This window comes from Homo sapiens, chromosome 22, assembly GCF_000001405.40.
Source record: "Homo sapiens chromosome 22, GRCh38.p14 Primary Assembly".
In the NCBI taxonomy this organism is placed as follows: domain Eukaryota; kingdom Metazoa; phylum Chordata; class Mammalia; order Primates; family Hominidae; genus Homo; species Homo sapiens.
Window position 1 is genome coordinate 17,353,194 of NC_000022.11, and position 18,360 is coordinate 17,371,553.

At 49.3% G+C, this 18,360-nt stretch overlaps 1 protein-coding gene across 10 annotated transcripts in view, besides 2 other annotated features; it reads left to right on the top strand.

Moving 5' to 3' along the window:
- Positions 6,756-18,360, top strand: part of CECR2 (CECR2 histone acetyl-lysine reader) — a 198,203-nt gene continuing 186,598 nt past the window's right edge. For 9 of the 10 annotated variants that reach the window (NM_001290047.2, XM_017028785.2, XM_011546132.3 and 6 more), the window contains exon 1: positions 16,267-16,716. In NM_001290047.2, coding sequence (NP_001276976.1) covers positions 16,591-16,716 — 126 coding nt within the window. In that variant the 5' untranslated portion in view covers positions 16,267-16,590. Of the gene's footprint in view, positions 6,831-16,266; positions 16,717-18,360 lie in introns of those variants that run through there. The other variant, NM_001290046.2, reaches the window with a different exon arrangement.
- Positions 16,525-16,594: a silencer, noted in NCBI's record as "silent region_13437". NCBI's record gives its function as "represses an Ori minimal core promoter by ATAC-STARR-seq in GM12878 lymphoblastoid cells {active_cell/tissue: GM12878}" and the evidence as "EXISTENCE:reporter gene assay evidence [ECO:0000049][PMID:35858748]".
- Positions 16,605-16,704: a silencer, noted in NCBI's record as "silent region_13438". NCBI's record gives its function as "represses an Ori minimal core promoter by ATAC-STARR-seq in GM12878 lymphoblastoid cells {active_cell/tissue: GM12878}" and the evidence as "EXISTENCE:reporter gene assay evidence [ECO:0000049][PMID:35858748]".

Genomic DNA, 18,360 nt, shown 5'->3' on the forward strand with positions numbered 1-18,360 from the left:
GTAGAGACAGGGTCTCACTATTTTGCTCAGGCTGTTCTTGAAACCCTGGGCTCAATCAATCCTCCTGCCTCGGCCTCCCAAAGTGCTGAGATTATAGACATGAGCCACTGCAGCCAGAATATTTTTGTTGTTGTTGTCGTTTTGTTTTGTTTTTTGATTTTTTTAATTATACTTTTAAGTTCCAGGGTACAAGCGCACAACGTGCAGGTTTGTTACATATGTATACGTGTTCCATGTTGGTGTGTGCAGCCAGAATTTTTTTTTTTTTTTGAGATGGAGTCTCGCTCTGTCACCCAGGCTAGAGTGCAGTGGCGCGATCTCGGCTCACTGCCAGCTCTGCCTCCCGGGTTCATGCCATTCTCCTGCCTCAGCCTCCCGAGTAGCTGGGATTACAGGCGTCTGCCACCACACCCGGCTAAATTTTTGTATTTTTAGTAGAGATGGGGTTTCACCGTGTTAGCCAGGATGGTCCCGATCTCCTGACCTCGTGATCTGCCCACCTCGGCCTCCCAAAGTGCTGGGATTACAGGCGTGAGCCACCGCGCCCAGCGCAGCCAGAATGTTTTTAGAGGTCATCACACATTAGCTAATGTTTCTGTGGTTTAGGAGGGCACGTCAGAAGCTGTCTTCTGGACTGACTGCGATTTACCAGGAATGCCATGTTTTTTAGCATGATTAAACCTAACAGCATAATCATATCCATCTCTATGCAAGAATAACCACAGTTGTCACAGGGTGCCCCCCATCCTTTTCCTTTTTCACCAACAGGTCTCTTCCTACTAAATGTCCAAAAACCTTTTAGTTTTTCAGCCACGCAAAGACAAGAATCTCACAGACTCTGCTTCAGTTGTCGTTAATGAAGATAGAAGGTGATAGGGAAACCTGATTAACTTTAAAAATAATGAAAGTATACACATAATAGATTTGAAGTTCATAGGAATTTCTAGGTCTTCAACTCTTACAACAATGCTTAAAACATAGTAACTGTTTAGTAAATATTTATGGGGGAATAATATGAAAATTATTATTCATATTATTATTCCCCAAAATATGGGGAAAAATATGATTGGGGAAATCAAATTGGAAAACAATGTCAATCCCACAGTTGTATTCATAAAAAGGAAAATTTTTTTCTTTCCTTCTTTTTTTTTATTTTTATTTTTTGTGAGACAGAGTCTCACTCTCTCACCCCCATTGGAGTGCAGTTGTGTGATCTCACTGCAACCTCTGCCTCCTGGGTTCAATGATTCTCCTGCTTCAACCTCCTGAGTAGCTGGGATTACAGGTGCACGCCACCATGCCGGCTACTTTTTGTATTTTTAGTAGAGACAGGATTTCACCATGTTGGCCAGGCTGGTCTCAAACTCCTGGCCTCAAGTGATCTGCCCACCTCAGCCTCCCAAAGTGCTGAGATTACAGGCGTGAGCCACCGGGCCTGACCAAATTTTTTCTTTTTGGGGTAAAATAATGAGTATAGCTTATACAGACTAGGACTTTGTGTATTGTAATAAATAAGACAAATAGTTTTTACTGTAATTGGTGCAGGTAGCTTTAGGCTATATAATTATTTACTCCTCATCTTAAGTTAAAAGCAAGGGAAGTTAATTTCCATGTTCCTCTTTTTATTTTTTTTTTTTTTGAGACGGAGTCTCACTCTCTAAGCCCAGGTTAGAGTGCAGTGGCACCACTCAGTGCAACCTCTGCCTCCTGGGTTCAAGTAATTCTCCACTAAAAACACAAAAATAAGCCGAATTAGCCGGCCGTGTGGTAGGCGCCTATAATCCCAGCTACTCAGGAGGCTGAGGCAGGAGAATTGCTTGAACCCGGGAGGCGGAGGATGCAGTGAGCGGAAATCATGCCATTGCACTCCAGCCTGGGTGACAGAGTGAGACTCCATCTCAAAAAAAAATTAAAAAGATAGGCGGGACGCAGTGGCTCATGCCTGTAGTCTCAGGACTTTGGGAGGCCAAGGAGTGGATCACCTGAGGTCAGGAGTTTGAGACCAGCCTGGTCAAGACGGTGAAATCCCGTCTCTACTAATAATACAAAAATTAGCCTAGTGTGGTGGTGCATGCCTGTAATTCCAGCTACTCGGGAGGCTGAGGCAGGAGAATCAATTGAACCTGGGAGGCAGAGGTTGCAGTGAGCCGAGACTGCATTGCTCTCCAGCAACAAGAGTGAAACTCTGTCTCCAAAAATAAACATAAAAAATAAAAAAAGGGCCGGGCGCGGTGGCTCACGCCTGTAATCCCAGCACTTTGGGAGGCCGAGGCGGGTGGATCATGAGGTCAGGAGATCGAGACCATCCTGGCTAACAAGGTGAAACCCCGTCTCTACTAAAAATACAAAAAATTAGCCAGGCGCGGTGGCGGGCGCCTGTAGTCCCAGCTACTCGGGAGGCTGAGGCAGGAGAATGGCGTGAACCTGGGAAGCGGAGCTTGCAGTGAGCCGAGATTGCGCCACTGCAGTCCACAGTCCCGCCTGGGCAACAGAGCGAGACTCCGTCTCAAAAATAAATAAATAAATAAATAAAAATAAAAAAAGTGGCCAGGCGTGGTGGCTCACGCCTGTAATCCCATCACTTTGGGAGGCCGAGGCGGGTGGATCATGAGGTCAGGAGTTCATGACAATCCTGGCCAAGATGATGAAACCCCATCTCTACTAAAAATACAAAAATTAGCCGGGTGTGGTGGCAGGTGCCTGTAATCCCAGCTACTTGGGAGGCTGAGGCAGGAGAACCGCTTGAACACGGGAGGCGGAGGTGGCAGTGAGCCAAAATCGCACCACTACACTCCAGCCTGGGCAACAGAGCAAGACTCCATCTCAAAATAAAATAAAATAAAATAAAATAAAATAAAATAAAATAAAATAAAAAAAGTAAAGATAGAGATGGGGTCGCTGGGGTCTCGCTATGTTGACCAGGCTGGTCTCAAACTCCTGGCCTCAAGCGATCCTCCCATCTTGGCCTCCTAAAGTGTTGAGATTACAGGTGACAGCCACTGTGCCCGGCCCGCAGATTTTTCGTTTGTTTTTTGAGACAGACTCTCGCTCTGTTGATCAGGCTAGAGGAGTGCAGTGGCATGATCTTGGTTCACTGCAACCTCCACCTCCTGGGTTCAAATGATTCTCATGCCTCACCTTCCGGAGTAGCTGGGACTACAGACACGTGCCACCATGCCCAGTTAATTTTTTTGTACTTTTAGTAGAGACGGGGTTTTGCCATGTTGGACAGGCTGGTCTTGAACTCCTGACCCCAAGTGATCCTTTCACCTTGGTCTCCCAAAGTGCTGGGATTACAGGCATGAGCCACCACAGCGAGCCTAGAATGCCAGATCTTTTGAATGAATCCTACAAGACTGCTCTTGCCTTTTCACTATATTGCCTTCTCTACTACATATCACTTCATTATTTTTATTATTTTTCTGAGATGGAGTCTCGCTCTGTTGCTCAGGCTGGAGTGCAGTGGCACAGTCTTGGCTCACTGCAACCTCCACCTTCCGGGTTCAAGCAATTCTCCTGCCTCAGCCTCCCACGTAGCTGGGATTACAAGCACATGCCACCATGCCCAGCTAATTTTTGTATTTTTAGTAGAGACAGGGTTTCACCATATTGACCAGGCTGGTCTCAAACTTCAGACCTCAAGTAATCTGCCCTCTTCAGCCTCCCAAAGTTCTGGGATTACAGGCGTGAGCCACTGCACCCAGCCTAAATATCACTTTAAGTTTAAAAATTATTTCTAAACTAATTGCTTTTGAATTTAATAAAATCTTTATTTATTTATTTATTTATTTTTGAGATGGAGTCTCGCCCTGTGGCCCAGGCTAGAGTGCAATGGTGTGATCTGTGCTCACTGCAACCTCTGCCTCTTGGGTTCAAACGATTCTCCTGCCTCAGCCTCCCGAGTAGCTGGGACTACAGGCACCCAACACCACACCCAGCTACTTTTCGTATTTTTAGTAGAGACAGGATTTCACCATATTGGCCAGGGTGGTCTCGAACTCCTGACCTCGTGATCCGCCCGCCTCGGCCTCCCAAAGTGCTGGGATTATAGGCGTGAGCCACTGCACTGCACTCAGCCTACAATTTTATTGAAGTTTTTATATCCTGGATAAAGATAGCTAACTGTGTTTCTCACCAATTCAAGCCCCGTCTTCCTCATGAAGCATTTCCCAAACATTCTAGCTCACACTAAAAATTTTCTTCTTTGAGTTCCTTCCTCTAAAAGGAGCAATTGACTAGATTATTTCTAACACTTTATAACTTTAACACTATGTAGTATACTTATAGTCTATACTACACAGACAATCTTACTATTTTACCAATTGCATTAAAAACTCCCTGAGACCAGAGACTCAATTTTCTACCCAAATGTGTATTTCCATGTTGAATGAAATGAACTGAAGAAATAACTCAGGCCCAGCTAAAGAGTTTGAGTCCAGATGTGTACAACCCTGGGCACTTTGTCCACCAAAATAATGCGACCTTTAAACTGAGTAGGGATGGTTGGAGGCCAAAGGAATGACACAAGGACCTAAAATAATTAAAAAGAAAGAGAAATTTGGATTGTAGCCCTTTTGAAAAGAGATTAAGGAAGAACGCATTAAGATTCACCACCTTCTGAATGGCACTGAGAATTGAGATGCTACAAAGCTGTTTGACCTGGTGTCAAGCACAAGGGAAGATGCCACAATGAGATAGGCCAGAGCTGGACACTCCAGGAATTCAAAGAGGAATTCTGGAACAGAGCAGCATGAACAGGGACTAAGCAACCCAGGAGCAGCAAGAGAGCTGATTCTTAGAGTTTTTAGACTAGAATTGAACAAAAGCCCTTCAGCAGGACATAAAATCTGGTGAGGACTTTGGTCCTGAATCAAAGTGGATGCCCACGGTAGAAAGGACTCCCTCAGCCCCATTTTATTCCCACCACTGGGTACTGAGTGAACTAACATTTGTACTAATTTCCTCCATGGCTGCGTGTAGTGTGAGAACATATTTGTTTTTTGTTTTTGTTTTTTAGTTTTTTGTTTTTTGGTTTTTTTTTTGAGACAGGTTTTCACTCTTGTTCCCCATGCTGGAGTGCAATGGCGTGATCTCGGCTCACCACAACCTCCGCCTCCTGGGTTCAAGCGATTCTCCTGCCTCAGACTCCGGAGTAGCTGGGATTACAGGCATGCACCACCACGCCCAGCTAATTTTGTATTTTTAGCAGAGACAGGTTTTCTCCATGTTGGTCAGGCTGGTCTCCAACTCCCGACCTCAGGTGATCCGCTGTTCCCGGCCTCCCAAAGTGCTGAGATTACAGGCATGAGCCACTGCGCCCGGCTGTGAAAACATATTTGTTAGGATACAGCCCCCAGCTCTGATGCAGGCTGGCTTGAGCCAGAGCACAGAAGCAATACTCCAGAAAGCAGCAGCCTCCTTTCTCCGGGCTGAACTTCTTTCTCAACCAGGGTCAGGAGGCTTTCAAGCTTGACACTTGGGTTTCACGGCAATAACAAATTACCAATCTTAAGGGCCAAAATAAAGAGAGCTGCTCACGTAGGCTTGGTCTCAGGCAGCCTTGCAGCTGTTACTAAAGCACCAGGGAAGGACGTTGAGGCTTGCAAGCCCCACAAATCCACAGTAATGAAAGTCTCTGTTCTAAGGAGTGCTGAGAGTGCTGTGGCCAGGTAGAAAGAAGAGCCACAGTACGTTAGGCATGTTTCCACTTCAACCTGGGCTTTAGGAAAGGTAATTAACTGGAAAAATGCTTATAGAAATTTCTAGAAATGGGAGGACATTGATACAGAGCACAGTGTGATTAGCCAAATAATTTCTGACAGATTCTCTATTCGCAGTGAATGATCTTTTCTTTTTTCTTTTTGTTTTTCCTTCTTTCTTTTCTTTTTTTTTTTTTTTTAGATGGGGTCTCCCCATGTTGGCCAGGCTGGTCATGACCTCCTGAGCCCAAGGGATCTACCTGCCTAGGCCTCCCAAAGTGTGTGCTAGGATTACAGGTGGGAGCCATCTTTTTTTTTCTTTTCTTTTTTTTTTTTTTAGATAGGGTCTGGCTCTGTCCCCAGGCTAGAGTGCAGCGCGGTAATCATGGCTCACTGTAGCCTTGGCCTCCTGGGCTCAGGTGATCCTCCCACCTCAGCCTCCTGCACAGCTGGGATTACAGGCACGCAGCACCATGCCCGGCAAATTTTCGTATTTTTAGCAGAGACTGGGTTTCACCATGTTGGCCAGGCTGGTCTTGAACTCCTGGACTCAAGGGATCCACCTGCCTCGGCCTCCCAAAGTGCTGGGATTACAGGCGTGAGCCACCACGTCCCATCCATGGTGAATTCTTATAGTGACTGGCTACTTTTCCCAACATGCTTTTTTAAAAAAAACAAAAAACAAAAAACTTTCTGCCATTTTCTCTCTCCAGTAGTCTCTGTTATCTTCTTTCCCAGCTGGTGGCCTGTCAATCTTTTTGGAACCTCCCCGCAGTGAATCACTTTTCAAACTTGCTTCACAGAACATTCAACGCTGACAAACCTCCCATGGAAGGGGAAGTAATAGAGTGTAAGAACCACAGGGTCCATGGCAGCTTGGAGGGAGAGCAGGACAGAAGCTGGGAGGCTGTGCAACAGGAAGGAGACCTGAAGATGAGCTCAGATAGCATCTGTGACACGATAAAGGAAAATTTTGTTGAATTCCTTATGACTTACCCTTTGTTCCTTTACAGCCCATGTTTGCCCTAGATGCCAGGGCAGTGCTGTTGGCCTTAAAGGAAAAAGGATGAACAAATGCCTGTGTGGTTTCACTTATATAGTACTCAGCTTGACGCCATGTGAAATGAAGAGGTATGTGGAACTTGGTGATATGAAAATAGAAACCAAAAGCCTGATAACAATACAAGGGAAAAATCAGGATCAGGAAACAATCCCAAAAAGGATTATGGAAATCACTGAAAAGTGGAGAAACTAAGTGGAAATAGAAAATCAAGTATACATGAAAGGCTTAAACATAATCTTAAAATGCGGTGATTAGTTACGCAGAGCTGGGTGCAGTGGCACGTCTGCAGTCCCATCTACTTGGGATGCTGTTACCGGAGGATCCCTTGTGCCCGAGGAATTCAAGGACACAGCAAGCTATGATTGCTTCTCTGAATAACCACTGTACTCCAGCTTGTACAACATCGTGAGACACCATTTGAAAAACAAACAAAACAAAACACTAGGCCGGGTGAAGTGGCTCACGCCTATAATCCCAGCACTTTGAGAGGCCGAGGCCGGCAGATCAGTTCAGGTCAGGAGTTCGAGACCAGCCTGACCAATATGGTGAAACCCCGTATCTACTAAAAATACAAAAATTTAGCCAAGCATGGTGGCTCGTAATCCCAGCTACTCAGGAGGCTAAGACAGGAGAATCACTTTAACCTGGAAGGCAGAGGTTGCAGTGAACCAAGATTGTGCCATTGCACTCCAGCCTGGGCAACAAAGCTAGACTCCATCTCGGAAAAAAAAAAAAAAAATTAGTCCAAGCATGGTGACATGTGCCTGTAATCCCAGCTATGAGGGAGGCTGAGGCAGAAGAATCACTTGAACCCAGGAGGTGGAGGTTGCCATGAGCCAAGATCTGCCATTGCACTCCAGCCTGGGCAATAAAGTGAGACCCTGTCTCAAACAAACAAACAAACAAACAAACAAAAAACCCACTAGGCTAGGTACAGTGGCTCATGCCTATAATCCCAGCACTTTGGGAGGCTGAGGCGGGTAGATTGCTTTAGCCCAGGAATTCAAGATGAGTCTGGGCAACATGGTGAAACCCCATCTCTACAAAAAATAAAAAAATTAGCCAGGCATCGTGGTGTGTGCATGTGGTCCCAGCTACTTGGCAGGCTGAGGTGAGAGGATCACTTGAGCCCACGAGGTGGAGGTTGCAGTGAGCTGAGATTGTGCCCCTGCTCTCCAGCCTCGGTGCCAGAGGGAGACCCTGTCTCAAACAAAGCAAAACAAAACAAAGCAAAACAAAACAAAAGAACAGGCCAGGTGCAGTGGCTCACGTCTATAATCCCAGCATTTTGGGAGGCCGAGGTGGGCATATCATTGAGGTCAGGAGTTTGAGACCAGCCTGGCCAACATGGCAAAACCCCATCTCTGCTAAAAATACAAAAATTAGCCGGGCTGGTGGCGGACACCTGTAATCTCAGCTACTCAGGAGGCTGAGGCAGGAGAACTGTTTGAACCCTGGAGGCGGACGTTGCAGTGCACCATTGCACTCCAGCCTGGACGACAGAGTGAGAGTCCATCTCAAACAAAACAAAAAACAAACAACACCCCCCACCCAAAAAAAAAACAACCTAGGTTACATAGTAATAGCAAGGGTGTTGACACTTTACAAAGTATAATCTGCTAAAAATATAAAAATTAGCCGGGCATGGTGGCGGGCACCCATAATTCTAGCTACTCGGGAGGCTGAGGCAGGAGAATCACTTGAACCCGGGGGCTGGGGGGAGGTTGCAGTGAGCCGAGATTGAGCCACTTCACTCCAGCCTGGGCAAAAGAGCAAGACTCTATCTCAAATTAAAAAAAAAAAAAAGAGAGAGAGAGTGACTGGTGTTTTCTGTGAATGCTAAAGATTAGTAATGTACTACACATCTATTCCACAAGCATTTATTATGATCAATTATTTGTAGACTGCTCTAAGGGGGCAGGGAGAAAACAGAAGCATAGCAGCCCTATAGGCTCTTCTCAGTGGAAGAGCTGTGATTTAGTTAGAGAAAGAGGTGGAAGGGGTGAGTTGGGAGACACTGCAGTAGGCCATAGTGGTTAGGGAATCCTCGCCTGGAGTCTTTAAAAGCCAATAACTGATCATTTATTTTATTTATTTATTTTTTAGTGACAGAGTCCCTCTCTGTCGCCCAGGCTGGAGTGCAGTGGCACAATCTCAGCTCACTGCAACCTCTGTCTCCAGAGTTCAAGCAATTATCGTGCCTCAGCCTCCCAAGTAGCTGGGATTACAGGCACACCGCCACCACACCTGGCTAATTTTTGTATTTTCAGTAAAGATGAGGTTTCACCATGTTGGCCAGGCTGGTCTCAAACTCCCCACCTCAGGTGATCCACCTGCCTCGGCCTCCGAAAGTGCTAGGATTACAGGCATGAGCCACCATGTCCAGCCCCAAGAATCAATAATTTAGAGGGGCCAAGTGAGTACTGATTATTTAGGTTACTATAGACCAGCACTGCCCAATACAGTAGCCACTAACCACAGTGGTGAATTGAACTGCAAAATGTAACTAGTCCCAACCGAGATGTCCTGTAAATATACAATATAGTATACACCAGATTTCAAAGACTTGGCATGAAAAAATAATTTTTTAGTTCATTTTTTTTGTGTGTGTTGATTACATGTTGAAATAATAATATTTTAGATAGATTGGATTTAAGAATATATCTGGCTGGGCTCGGTGGCTCACGCCTGTAATCCCAGTACTTTGGGAGGCCAACAGGGGTGGATCATGAGTTCAGGAGTTCAAGACCAGCCTGGCCAAGATGGTGAAACCCTGTCTCTATGAAAAATACAAAAATTAGCTGGGCACAGCAGTGGGTGCCTGTAATCCCAGCTACTCGGGAGGCTGAGGCAGGAAAATTGCTTGAACCTGGGAGGCAGAGGTTGCAGTGAGCCGAGATTGTGCCACTGAACTCTAGCCTGGGCGACAGAGCGAAACTCCGTCTCAAAAAAAAAAAAAAAAAAAAAGAATACGTCCAAGAATTGTTGTTTCTTCCTTTAGGTGCCTCTTACCTTCCATTTCCTTTTGATAACCCTGGTCTCCATCCTGTGTCACGTCCTTTGCATCCCACTATTTTAGCCATTTCCTTCTTCTTTTTTTTTTTGTTTTTTTGAGACAGAGTCTTGCTCTGTTGCCTAGGCTAGAGTGCAGCGGCACCATCTTAGCTCACTGCAACCTCTGCCTCCAGGGTTCAAGCGATTCTTCTGCCTTGACTTACCGAGTAGCTGGGACTACAGGCGCACCCTACCACACCTGGCTAATTTTTTTTTTTTTGAGTTGGGGTCTCGCTTTCGCCAGGCTGGAGTGCAGTGGCGCGATCACAGCTCACTGCAACCTCCGCCTCCTGGGTTCAAGCAATTCTGCCTCAGCCTCCTGAGTAGCTAGGACTACAGGTGCCCACCACCATGCCCAGCTAATTTTTTTGTATTTTTAGTAGACACGGACATTCACCATATCGAGACCAGGCTGGTCTCGAACTCCTGACCTTATGATCCGCCTGCCTTGGCCTCCCAAAGTGGTGGAATTACAGGCGTGAGCCACCGTGCCAGGCCAATTTTTGTATTTTAAGCAAAGACAGGGTTTCACTATGTTGGCCAGGCTGGGCTCGAACTCCTGACCTCAGGTGATCTGCCTGCCTTGGCCTCCCAAAATGCTGGAATTACAGGCATGAGCCACCATACCTGGCCTATTTATTTTTGAGGCAGGGTCTTACTCTGTTGCTCAGGCTGGAGTGCAGTAGCATGATCTCAGCTCCCTCCAACCTTCACCTCTTGGGTTCAAGCAATCCTCCCACCTCAGCATCTGGAGTAACTGGGACTACAGTGTGTACCAACATGCCTGGCTAAATTTTGTATTTTTTGAAAAGATGAAGTTTTGCCATGTTGCTCAGACTGGTCTTGAACTCCTGGGTTCAAGTGATCCACCCACTGCAGCCTCTCAAAGTGTTGGGATTACAGGTGTGAACCACTATGCCCAGCCTAATTTCTAAAAATTTTAAATTAGCTTGGTGTATAGCCCTCTTTGGGAATAGGGAGTTATGGAATGCAGCTCCTTAATGAGAAAAGCTGAGCTGTTCATGAAGGGTTGTCAAGAATTTGTGCCATACTCCCGGGCGCGGTGGCTCATACCTGTAATCCCAGCACTTTGGGAGGCCGAGGCGGGCAGATCACGAGGTCAGAAGATCTAGACCATCCTGGCTAACACGGTGAAACCCCGTCTCTACTAAAAATACAAAAAATTAGCTGGGTGTGGTGGCAGGCGCCTGTAGTCCCAGCTACTCCGGAGGCTGAGGCAGGAGAATGGCGTGAACCTGGGAGGCGGAGCTTGCAGTGAGCTGAGATCACGCCACTGCTCTCTAGCCTGGACGACAGAGCAAGACTCTGTCTCAAAAAAAAAAAAAAAAAAAAGAATTTGTGCCATACTTGGGCTTAGTTATACACAGTTGACTAAAGTGCTAACATAATGTTTATACTACACTCTCCTGGTCCAATTTGATTCTGGCACTGAAACAAGAAGTATCCAGGTCAGGTTGGCAAACAAAGGTAGAGAAAGGGCAATTTAAATAGAAGAGAGAGGCAGCGCACAGTGGCTCACGCCTTGTAACCCTGCTCACTTTGGGATTACAAAGTGCTGTGATCCCAGCACTTTGGGAGGCCGAGGTGGGTGGATCACAAGGTTCGGAGTTCCAGACCAGCCTGGCCAATATGGTGAAACGCCATCTCTACTAAAAATACAAAAATTAGCTGGGAGTGGTGCCACGCACCTATAGGCTGAGACAGGAGAACCGCCTGAACGCAGAAGGCAGAGGTTGCAGTGAGCTGAGATCACACCACTGCACTCCAGCCTCGGCAACAGAGGGAGATTCCGTCTCAAAAAACAAAAAACAAAACAAACAAACAAAAAAACAAAAAATAAGAAGAAGAAGAAGAGAGAAGTAGCATGATTCCAAAGAGAGAAAACTGGCTGAACAGTTAGATTTGGATGCTTGGCTGGGCGCAGTGGCTCACGCCTATAATCCCAGCACTCTGGGAGGCTGAGGCAGGTGGATCACCTGAGGTCGGGAGTTTGAGACCAACCTGACCAACATGAAGAAACCCTATCTCTACTAAAAATACAAAACTAGCCAGGCGTGGTGGTGCGTGCCTGTAAACCTAGCTACTCGGGAGGCTGAGGCAGGAGAATTGCTTGAACCCAGGAGGCAGAGGTTGCAGTGAGCCAAGATCATGCCACTGCACTCCAGCCTGGGCAACAAGAGTGAAACTCTGTCTAAAAAAAAGGAAAAAGAAAAAGATTTGGATGCTTGTCCTGGTTAACGACGGTTATGAAGAAGCCACACTTTCCTTTGTTCATCTCTTCCAAGGTTCAGTAATAATAAAGCAGAGCACACATTTTTAAATTAATCCTTTGGAAATAACAGTGTATTTCCCAAAGAAACAATGTCATAAAAAAGGTGGTTAGGCCAGACTCAGTGGCTCACGCCTGTAATCCTAGTACTTTGGGAGGCCAAGGTGGGCGGATCACGAGGTCAGGAGATCGAGACCAGCCTGGCTAACACGGTGAAACCCCGTCTCTACTAAAAATACAAAAAAAATCAGCCAGGCGTGGTGGTGGGTGCCTGTACACCCAGCTACTCGGGAGGCTGAGGCAGGAAAATGGTGTGAACCGGGGAGGCGGAGCTTGCAGTGAGCCAAGATGGCACCACTGCACTCCAGCCTGGGTGACAGATCAAGACTGTCTCGGAAAAACAAACAAACAAACAAAAACAAACAAAAAAATGTGGTTAGCCTGGCCTGTAGTGCCAGCTATCTGGGAGGCTGAGGCAGGAGGATTGCTCAGTAAGGTGGCAGTGAGCTATGACTGCACCACTCCACTGCAGCCTGGACAACAAAGGGAGACCCCCTATGTAAAAAAAAAAAAAGGGTGGTTCATTTCCCAGATTATCCTCCAGGAACCTATATAAATCCCAACATAGCTAACATTACTTCATATTTTGCAATGGGAAACATAAATATTTTTGCAATATTAATGAATAAGCAAAACAGAAAAACCAAACGAATTATTGTGGGATTTTTAAATAGAAAACATTTGATTCAAAGGGGATTATGGAACTCAGGGTCAGAGAATATGAAAGAATTACTTCTTGCTACTTTTAATACTATCTGAAGTTAATGGCACTGGCTCACAAACAGAAAACAGCACGAATGAGAAGGGGAAAGAAAATATGAGCTGTGTTTTTTCTTTTTTCTTTTTTTGAGATTGAGTCTCACTCTGTCGCTAGGCTGGAGTACAGTGGCACGATCTCCGCTCACTGCAACCTCTGCCTCCCGGGTTCAACCAATCATCCTGCCTCAGCCTCCGAGTAGCTGGGAGTACAGGGGCGTGCCACCACGCCCAGCTAATTTTTTGTATTTTTAGCAGAGACGGAGTTTCACCATGTTGGCTAGGATGGTCTCGATCTCTTTACCTCGTGATCCGCCTGCCTGGGCCTCCCAAAGTGCTGAGATTACAGGCGTCACCTACCGCCCCGGCAAACTGTGTGTTTTTAAGGAAGATGATTCAACTAGTGTTTCGAGGGTGAAAGAATGGGCCAGGCTGGAGAAGTACAATAGCACTCCGAATCAAAGGGAGAAGGGAAGAAGGGTGAGTGGCCAGCCTATTGGTAGGGGGTCATTAATCTAGATTCTAGGAGGTTAGGCTGGAAGTTAGTCCAGAAAATAGATCCGAGGCAGTTAAGTCCAAGGGGAGGCGTGGCACAGATGTTCAAAGCAGGGTCAAAGATTCAGGGTATCAATCCTAACAGGGCCAGAGAAGGTCCAAATGGAAAAGCTCTGGTTGGAGCCCAAACTCGGGGAACTCAAGATTGAGATTTACTGTTGATTCCAAGACACTTGAGACCCCTCAGCTCCTGGGGCCAGGATCCGTTCCAGAGGGTAGTTGAGGCCAGAGTAGCAGGGTAGGTGGAGGAACTAGGGAAAAAACTGTAGAGACAAACAGAGTTAGAGAATGGTGGGAGGAAATGGGTCTAAAGTTGGTGTGCTGGGCCACAGAACAGAGAAGACCCTCAGAAGGAAAGGGCAGCAGAAGGGAGGAGGAGCCCTGAGAGACAGGGCGGATCTCCGAGCAGCACCAGGGGGCGCGTGCCGTTCCCGGACAGTCTTGTTGATTTCCGGGGCTTGGCAGTAGGCGGAGGAGGCAGGAAGACAATGGCTCAGCCTTTAAATTGGGGCTGGGGTGGTGTTTGTAAACGACATTAAACACACTACCGTACTAAAAGGTAGCCAAATCATCTCATCCCTCTGCTTGCTGGTGTCATTAATATCCTAGGCACTAATATTACTAGGCTGGCTAGTGGTGACAACTGAGAGGCGAGGGAAGAAGCTTAAACGATGACAAAAGATAAAGGCAGGGAAACGCAGTAACACTTTTTTTTTTTAATTTTTATTTTTTGAGACGGAGTCTCACTCTTACTGCTCAGGCTGGAGTGCAATGGCGAGATCTCGGCTCATTGCAATCTCTGCCTCCCGAGTTCAGGCGATTCTCCTGCCTCAGTCTCCCGAGTAGCTGGGACTACGGGCGCCTGCCACCACACCCATCTAATTTTATGTATTTTTAGTAGAGACGAGGTTTCACAATGTTGGCCAGGCTGGTCTCGAACTCCTGACCTAAGGTGAACCACCCGCCTCGGCCTCCCAAAGTGCTGGGATTACAGGCGTAAGCCACCGCGCCCGGCCAACTCACACAGAGGAAAAAGTGTGCAAAGTCAAACTGTGAGGAAATAAAAGACGGAGAAGCAAGTCCAGAAAGCACCTCGTTCAGGTTACGTGACAATTCCGGGGTGGCCTGTGTCCCTCTCCCATCTCCCTTGCTAATGCAATACTCACGGGGTAGCTGTGCTTCACCAACACACACAAACGTAGGCTTGGCTTTTTGGGAGCAGTCACATGTGAGCTCATTTTTGCCAAACATTAAATAAAAAGCATGGTAGAATTTGAGGATGCACTTTAAATCATCAAATAGTTCCAGGGAATGAAAGAGCAGAACTTTGGGTTGTTTTTCTGTGCCAGGAGAGAGTGGTGGGGGGCGGAGGAGACCCTTGTTAGAAGATGATGTATTTTGAGATTACTAGATTCACAGAAGATGCACGTGAATATACTCTAACCATTTAAAATTATGTTTCTGAATGCTGCCTTAAAAAATACAACAAGTTATTATCATAATAAAGTGAGGGAGAGTGGAGGGGTAATTATCCAGACAGCCCATTCCAAAATCTATCATATAAATTATCTCCAGATTGTACACTACTTAAAGGTAGAAGAGGATCTTTGAGTTTAACCCTTGTACACTTTGTGATTGTGCCTGTCACTCAATAAATAGTTGATTAATTTGGGGGACGCACCAGGAGCAGTGTTTCCTATCTGAAAGGTGGACCACCGAACTCAGAGGCGGCCCTCTGAGACCAGCAGGATGCAAGTGCGACGACCAATACAAATATCTGAGCATTCAATGGAGTTTTTCCAAACTTCTAGCCTGTTTCTGGGGTGATTTTTTTTCTTAGGATTTAGCAGTACTCCACCGCGCTACAGCAGTTAGCATTTCTAAAGCACACACTCCAACACCCTTCGGCCGTAGCACATTCAATCCCTCCGCCGGGGCGTGGGGGTCTCCTCCCCTCCGAGCACAGTCCCCGGCTTCCCGATCTCCTCTGCCCCATCCCCCCGCCTTCCAAGCACATTGTGCTCACTCTTCCAGGCAGCTCTTTCAGCGGCCGGGCAGTAGCAGGGTTCCGAGCCCGTCTTCTCCGGGGCGGTCACACGTGTCCATTCCCTGGGGTTGGGGATCGCTCTTCCCGCTTGGCTGCTGATTGGTGCCTCCCCCTACCCCACCCTTCCCGCCGCTCTCCAGCCTCCATCCTACTTCGTTCCAGCTCAATCAGCCCCACCGCCTTCTTCCCTCGGAGAAAAAAGCCACTTCAGAGCTCCTTGGGCGCCGTTCTCGGCTGGAATAAAAGCGTTAAGAAACAGGTGGAAAGCACTTCACTTCTCTAGGCTTCATATTTCTAGGGTGGACAGCCCGCTCCTGCTCCGGCTCTGCCCTCGGCATCAATAATAACTGAACTCCCACACGTGCACGTTTCTGTCTCTAGCCCGACCGAAAGGACCACCCCGCGGGCCCTTTAAAAGGACGCGACCACTCAGGCCAAGTGGGGGTGGGAGAGCTCCTGGCCGTCCTCCCTTGGGAAAGTGCTTCAACTCCCCAGTCCCAAAGTCCTGGAGGGCGGAGGGCGCCTCGTGAGAGTTCTCGGGGGTGCGGCCCGCGCCCCCTGGGTCCTGCGGATCTGGGCCCGGGGGCGCGCGCCCCGCCCCTCCCCCTCCCTGGCGGTGCAGCTGTCCGGGCGGGGGTGGGGCGGGGGCGGGGGTTGTTGTTGTGGCGCGGGCAGCCCCGCCCCCTCCTCGTGGGCGGCCCCTCCCCCAGGCCCCGCGTCCGGCCCCTCCGCCCCTAGCCCCATCTGTTTCTCCGGCGGGGACTCGATTATATTGTAGGGGACTGGGGGCGGCCGCCGCCGCAGCCGCGGGATGGGGCGAGCGCGCGGACCCCGCGGGCAGCCGCAGCCGCAGCCGCCTCAGTAGTTCGGGCCCCCGCGCCGCCGCCCCCCGCCCGGCGCCCGCCCTCGGCTCCTGCACTCGCCGAGCGGCGGCAGCAGCGGGAGGAGCGCCCCGCCGCCCCCGCCGAGGACCGCGCGGAGGCTGCGGCGCTGCCGCGGCGGGAGTCCCAGGTCGGCGGGCAGAGCGCGGGCAGCGAGGGGCCGCCGCCTGTGCCGCAGCGGGGAGATGTGCCCAGAGGAGGGCGGCGCGGCCGGGCTGGGCGAGCTCCGCTCCTGGTGGGAGGTCCCGGCCATCGCGCACTTCTGCTCGCTCTTTCGCACCGCGTTCCGCCTGCCCGACTTCGAGATCGAGGTGAGTGGCCGCGCGGGCGGGAGGCGGCGCGCTGCGCCCCCTGCTCCCCCTGCCCCGCGCGGGGTGTCCCGGGCCGTCGCGCAGAGGGGCCGGGGCCCGAGGGACTTCGGCCGGGAGTCGGGGGCCAGGAGGAGGGCGCAAAAGGGCAGGAGGGCGGGCGGGGGCCGCCGGGCTGTGCCCGGGTGCCGAGGGGCGTCGGGCCGGGGACGCCGGATCCTGGGGTGGAGGAGCAGGCACCGCGAGGGCGGGGCGGGCCCGTGCTTTTGTGGGAGAGGGAGCGGGAGCGGGACCCGGCGACCCTCCCGGGACTTCTCCGGTGGGCTGGGGCTGGGTGTGGGCGCGAGGGCTGCGCGCGCTCGCCGCCCGGTGCCATTGAGGCGCGAGCCAGCTGCTCCGGCGGGGCCGGGCGCGGGGGGGGGGCCCGCGCGGGATTAACTCGGACCGGGGCGGGAGTCGGCCGCGGCCGGCGGGGAGGGCTAGCCCCGCTCTGGCGGGCGGGCGCGTGGCAGGGGCTCCCGGAGGCCCCAAGCTCCCGGGAGGCGCTCCGGCCAACTTCGGGCCGGTGGGGACCGGGCCTGGGCGCGGGGCTCTGGAGGTGTGGAAGGAAAGTTTGGGACTCCGTTATTCTTCCACAGCGTCCTTCCTCCCGTAATATCCAGCCTCTTTATCGCGGGGCTCGGGAGCCCTTGGAGTTGATCTCGCCACCATTATCCCCCCGGGCGAGCGCGGAGGACGGGCTGGCCATTCTGGCCAGGCCGGAGGTGTTTTCCAGCCCGGGGCTTTGTGATAACTGGGCCGAAACCCGAGGGTCCTGGAGCGCGGCGGGTGGCGGGAGCTTGCGGAGCGCGGCGCACTCGGCGGCCAGGCATCGGCCAGCCCAGCGGCAGCCCCCTTTCTCCTATTTTTATTTTTATTTTTGGAAGGAGCTGAGAATTAGTCGATTGGTTGGCAGGTTGAATTGCCTTCTCTTCTATGGCAATATGTGTCGTGACTTTTCACCTTTTGCCTTTGGACAAAGGTGAATGGCAACTGCGTTGGTCAGTTTTTGTTTTCTGTTCTGCGGATGGGTTCGCCGACGCAGTAATCAAAATTAGAGCCACTCTTTTGGAAGAGCAAATCGTTGTTGTTGCCTCCCCAGCCCCACGGATCTTACTTTGTGCCATTTTCGGGTTGATTTTAACTCGTTTATTTCAGAGCTCTTTGCCTCACCTTTATTTTTAGATTTAGTCGTGTTTGCTGAAATATCAGTTGCTTCTTCTGTGAATGAAGTGTGGGAACTTGCTCTCGTCGCAGTTAATGAAATCAGGAAAATAAAAAGATCAAAAGGGTTGGGGATGGGAGAATGAAGAGGAATGTAGACAGATAGTCTAGGGCCACTCACTGGCTTTTGGCGATTCTTAGTTCCTTAAGCTGATTAAAACAATGTGAGGAAATGTGGGCTTCTCCACTTTTTAGGAAGAGGTAATAACGGGCATTTTACGTGGCGCCACAGCGTTTGTTTTCAAAGTTTGAACGTGAATGTAGCAAGCATAATTTTATTAATGAAAATATTCTTTAGACAACTGTTAATATTGACGAAAGAAGAGAAACAGAGACACGGAAGCTAAAGAGTTGGGAATCCTAAAGGTCAAAGGATGTTTCTCA